Genomic DNA, 5,970 nt, shown 5'->3' on the forward strand with positions numbered 1-5,970 from the left:
GTACAACTAAGAACCTTGTACATGACAAATGAAAGAAATGTAAGAACTCTGAAAGATGAGAAGAAGTCAGGCTGGTTGGGGACATCAGGACCCCAAAAATGATCCAGACTTTGACAATTGATCATTCAGCAATAAGGAATCCACCCCAATCAAGGAGTCACCAGAGACCACCGGGTAGCTACAATTCCTACTCCTGTTCATCAGGCAGAAGAGGACTACCATCTATTGGGTATGAACAGAGGCCAAGTGGGGACCTGAACTTCTATTTCCATATGTGTGAAGTCATAAAGAGGTGGCAGCACCCTTCTCCTGCCACAGTACTATCCAAAAAAGTCAATTAAAACAGAAGGTTACAATTAGATGCCGTGCCTCACAACATAATATGGAAATATCTAGGTTTCAGTAGAAAATCACTCATCATATGAAGAACCAGAAAATCTCAACCTGAATGAAAGGACAATTAATAGATGCCAACACCAGGATGGCACGGGAGTTACAAATGTCTGACAAAGTTCCAAAAGGAGAGAAGAAAAAAGGTAGGGCTGAAATAGTACTTGAAGAAATAATGACTGGAAATTCCCAAAGTTAGCCAGAAATGTAAACCTAGAGATTTAAGAAGCTGAGTGAATCTCAAACAGGACAAACTCAAGAAAATCCACACCAAGGCACATCTGAAAACTAAACACAAAGAAAAAAATCTTCAAAGCAGCGAGAGAGAAATAACTGCTTACTATAGGAAAAAAAGAAAAAAACAGAATGACAGCAGATTTCTCATCAGACACCATGAAGAACAGAAGGAAGCAGCATAATACTTCTCACAAGCTGAGAGAAAAGAACTGGCAAACGAATCACACCCAGGAAAAATATGCATCAGAAATGAAGAGGAAATCAATACATCATCAAATGAAGGGAAAGTAAGAGCATTTGTCCCTACCAGACCTATCCTAAAAGAATGGCTAAAGGAAGTGCTCTAAACATAAAGGAAATGCTAAAGAAGAAACCTTGGAACATCAGGAAAGAAGAACACAGTAAACAAAAATGTGAGCGAATACAACAAGCTTTGTTTCTTCTTGACTGAAGCAAAAATTATAACACCAGTTGATATGTTTCTAAACATATGTAGAGGAAATATTTAATGCAGTTATATTATAAATGAAAGAAGAGAAAGGAACATAAATGGACATAACTAATGGACATTTACTACACTTTATTGAAGCTCATAAAATAAAAACACCAGTAGGCTGTGCTTTTATATATGATATAATACTTAGAGCAGCCATTAAAAAGCTATACAAAGAGAAACACTCAGAAACACTATGGATAAATCAAAGTAGAATCGAATAAAACCTTTCAGTATCACACAGAAGACAGAATAAATAAAAACAAAACAAAACAAAAAAACAGAAAGAACACACAGAAAACAAAAAATGGCAGAATTAAGGCCTGACAGATTAATAATTACATTAATATCAAAGGTCTAAATATATCAACTAAAAGGCATTGACTGAATTAAATGTTCTTTATAAGAAACTCACTTCAAATATAATGATATAGGCAGGTTTAAAGTAAAAGGATAGAAAAAGATATTTTATGCAAACATCCATCAAAGTAAAGCAAGAGTGGCTATATCAGTATTAAACAAAGTAGACTTCAGAGAAAAAAGATTCCCAGAGCCAAAGGGCATTATATAATAATAAAAGGGTAAATCCATGAAGATGACATAACAATCTTAAGTGTCAATGCACCAAATAGCACAGTTGCAAAGTATGTGAAGCAAAAGCTGATAGAAAAAGGAAGCATAGATAAATCCACAATTATATTTGGAAACCTTAACATTACACTATCAACAACTGGTAGAACAACTATACAAAAAGGCCAGGCATGGTGGCTCTGCCTGTAATTCCAGCAGTTTGGGAAGCCGAGGCTGGAGGATCACTTGAGCTCAGGAATTTGAGACCAGCCTGAACAACAAGGTGAAACACTGTCTGTACAAAAAATACAAAAATTAGCTGGGTGTAGTGGCGCAGGCCTGTAATCCCAGCTACTCAGGAGTCTGTGGTGGGAGGATTGCTGAAGCCCTTGGGGTTGAGGCTGCAGAGAAACATGGTCATGCCACCATATTCTGGCCTGGGTGACAGAGCAAGATCCTGTCTCAAAAACAAACAAACAAAACTATAGAGAAAATCAGCAAGGATATAGAGGAACTCAACAACACCATAAAACCATCAAAATATAATTGGCATTTAAAAAACAGAATATACATTATTTACAAAAGCCCATGCATAGAACATATACCAAAACAAACTATAACCTGAGAGATAAAACAAACCCCCAACAATTTAAAAGTATTGAAATAATACACAATGTATTGTCTGACCACAAGGGAAACAAGCTACAAATCAATAAAAGAAAGATAAGAGTAAAACCTCCAAATATTTGAAAACTAACACATGTCTAAATAAACCATGGAAATACATTCATTAGTTTGCTCCTTTCTGCCTATGGATGCTGCCAAGGGAGAATCATTAAAGTCTCTCTTCCCACTGCCATGATGTCTAAGTCAGCATCTCCCAAAGAGCCTGAACAGGTGCAGAGAGCTTTCAAACAACCGATGAGAGTCTGAGCAGCCATTCAGAAAAATGGGGAATGCTCATGGACTGTGTGGTAATGAGAGACCAAAACACCAAGTGCTCCAGGGGCTTTGGGTTTGTCACATGGAGGAGGTGGATGCAGCCATGGATGCAAGGCTACATAAAGTGGATGAGAGTTGTAAAACCAAAGAGAGCTGTCTCAAGAGAAGATTCTCAAAGACCAGGTGCCTACTTAACTGTGAAAAAGATATTTGTTGGTGGCATTAAAGAAGACACTGAAGAACATCACCTAAGAGATTATTTTGAACAGTATGGGAAAATTGAAGTGATTGAAATCATGACTGACCAAGGCAGTGGCAAGAAAAGGGGCTTTGCCTTTGTAACCTTTGACAACCATGACTCCGTGGATAAGACTGTCATTCAGAAATAGCACACTGTGAATGGCCACAACTGTGAAACTAGGAAAGCCCTGTCAAAGCAAGAGATGGCTAGTGCTTCCTCCAGCCAGAGGTTGAAGTGGATCTGGAAACTTTGGTGGTGGTCGTGGGGTGGTTATGGTGGGAATGACAACTTTGTTCATGGAGGAAACGTCAGTGGTCATGATGGCTTTGGTGGCAGCCATGGTGGTGGTGGATATGGTGGCTGTGGGGATGGCTATAATGGATTTGGTAATGATGGAAGCAATTTTGGAGGTGGTGGAAGCAACAACAATTTTGGCAATTACAACAATCTGTCTTCAGATTTTGGACCCACAAAGGGAGGAAACTTTGGAGGCAGAAGCTCTGGCCCCTAACGTGGGGGAGGCCAATACTTTGCCAAACCACGAAACCAAGGTGGCTATGGTAGTTCTGGTAGCAGCACTAGCTATAGCAGTGGCAGATTTCAATTCCTGCCAGGAAAGAAAATTTCACAGGAGAGGAGAGCCAGAGAAGTGACGGGGAAGCTACAGGTCACAGCAGATTTGTGAACTCAGCCAAGCACAGTGGTGGCAGAGCCTAGCTGCTACAAAGAAGACATCTTTTAGACAATACTCATGAGTCTGGGGAAAACTTGAGGATTGTATTTATGACTAATTGTACAACAGATTATTTTAGTTTCTGTTTTGTGGAAAGTGTAAAGCATTCCAACAAAGAGTTTTAAGGTACATATATATGTTTTTGCACCCATGCCATTGATTGCTAAATGTAATAGTCTGATAATGCTTAATAAATGTGTCTTCTTAAATAAATAAATAATATTTATAATAACATTTAAAGAATTAACACCAACTGGGGAAAACCTCTTCCAGCAATAGAAAAGGAGGAACCACTTTCCAATTCATTTTATGAAGCTAATATTGCCTTGATACCAAAATAAGAAGAAGACATTTTTTAAAAACAAAAAGAAAACTGCAGACCAATATTTATCATCAGTATAGAGGCAAAAATCCTTATCAAAATGTTAGCAAAGAGAAGTAAGCAATATATAAAATGATTAAACACCATATTCAAATGAAGTTTATTTCAGAAATGCAAGGCTGGTTAAGTGGTTGAGAATCAATCAATATAATCCACCATATTAGCAGACTGAAGAAGAAAAATCACATCAATTAATTCATAAGATGAATTTAACAAAGTTTAACACCAATTTATAATTTTTTAACTGTTATAAAAACAGAAATACAGGGCAATTTCCTAAACTTGATTTTTTAAAATCTACAAAACTCTATAGCTAACATGATATTTAATGGTGAAAAACTGAATTATTTACCTCTAGACCAAGAGCAAGATAAGGATTTCTGCTCTCAGCACTCCTATTCAGTATAGTGCTGGAAGTTCTAGTCAGTGCACTAAAACAAGAAAAATAAATAAACAGCATGTAAATTGGAGGGGAGACATAATGTAAAATAGTACAGTCACTCTGGAAAATGGTTTGACAGTTTTTAAAAAAACTGAACTTGCAAATACCGTAAGACCTAGCAACTGCATTCCTTGGTATTTACCCTAGAGAAATTGAGATTTATGCTTATAAAAACATCTGTAAACAAATGTTTGTGGCAAAATTATTAGCACCAGCCAAGAACTGGAAACAACCCAGTCCTTCAAGGAGTGACTCATTAAAGAAACTGTGGTACATCCATGTCATTGAATATCAATGAACAATAAAAAGGAATGAACTGTTGATACATGTAGGAACAAGCTGGACAAATCTCTAGAGAATTATTCCCAGTGAAAAAGTGAACCACAAAGGTTACACTCTGTATCTTTTCATTCATGTAACATTCTTGAAATGACAAAATTATAGAAATGGCAAACATATTAGAGTTATCAGGAGGGGAGTGAGGTGGGAGGGAAGTGGGTCTGTAAAAGAGCAGCATGAGGGATGTCTGTGGAGACGGAAATGTTCTATAGCTTGACTATCAATGTCGGTATCATAGTTGTGATTTTACAAGATTTTGCCTTTGAGATAAACAAGGAGAAGTGTATATGCAGTCTCTCTGTAGTATTTTTCCCAATCACATATGTATCTACAATTATATCCCCCCAAAATTAATTAAAAATGATTTTTAAATGCAGTCATATACTTTTATTTATGGAAAATTAAATACATCTGTATACCCATATGTGTAATCAGGTGGTCCAGATATATGCTCACCAAGCTGTTGACAGTAATTTTCCTTGGGTGTAGTATTTCAGGAGATTTTGCTATTTGTTTTTTTAAACTTTTAAATGTTATATGAGTAATGTGCATAATGCATAAATATATTCTTATTGTAAAATAATATAAGTAGAAATTAAAAGCAAAATATTCTGCCAGATAAAATCTCCTCCCAAGGATAATAATTATTAGCATTTTGGCTTATATCCTTCCAGTCCCAATTCTGTAATTGCATACAATTTTGTATTGTGTATATGTGAATATATACATCTTTTCAGAATCACTTACAATAAATAGAATTATAGCCAACCTTTGTAACTTCTTTATTCAAAAATATGACTTGATAATATTTCTATGTCTGCAAATACTTATAACTACTTAATTTTTTAACCAGAGCATGGTTGTTCATAATTAACCTAATTCATTCCTATAGGATTGGATTATTTTCTATTTTTGACTGTTATAAATAATGCCACATAAGCATTCTTGCTAATTGTTTTGCAGATAGAGAAATACTTCTGTAGAATAGATGGTTAGAGATGAAATTTCTAGGGCAAAGGGGTTATTCATTTCAAAACTTGAAAGAAGCTACCAAATTGTCCACTAAAAAAGTAGACAAAAATATATACCTTCCAACTGTGTATGTATTTGTTTCAAAACATACTAACACATAACACTATCAATCCAATTTTTATTTTAATTTTAAAATTTTTAATCAAGAATATTCAAAGATAAACTACAT

At 35.6% G+C, this 5,970-nt stretch overlaps 1 pseudogene; it reads left to right on the top strand.

The window, feature by feature from the left end:
- HNRNPA1P67 (heterogeneous nuclear ribonucleoprotein A1 pseudogene 67) lies at positions 2,472-3,669 on the top strand (annotated as a pseudogene).

The sequence above is a fragment of the Homo sapiens genome, chromosome 4, assembly GCF_000001405.40.
Source record: "Homo sapiens chromosome 4, GRCh38.p14 Primary Assembly".
Taxonomy (NCBI): Eukaryota; Metazoa; Chordata; class Mammalia; order Primates; family Hominidae; genus Homo; species Homo sapiens.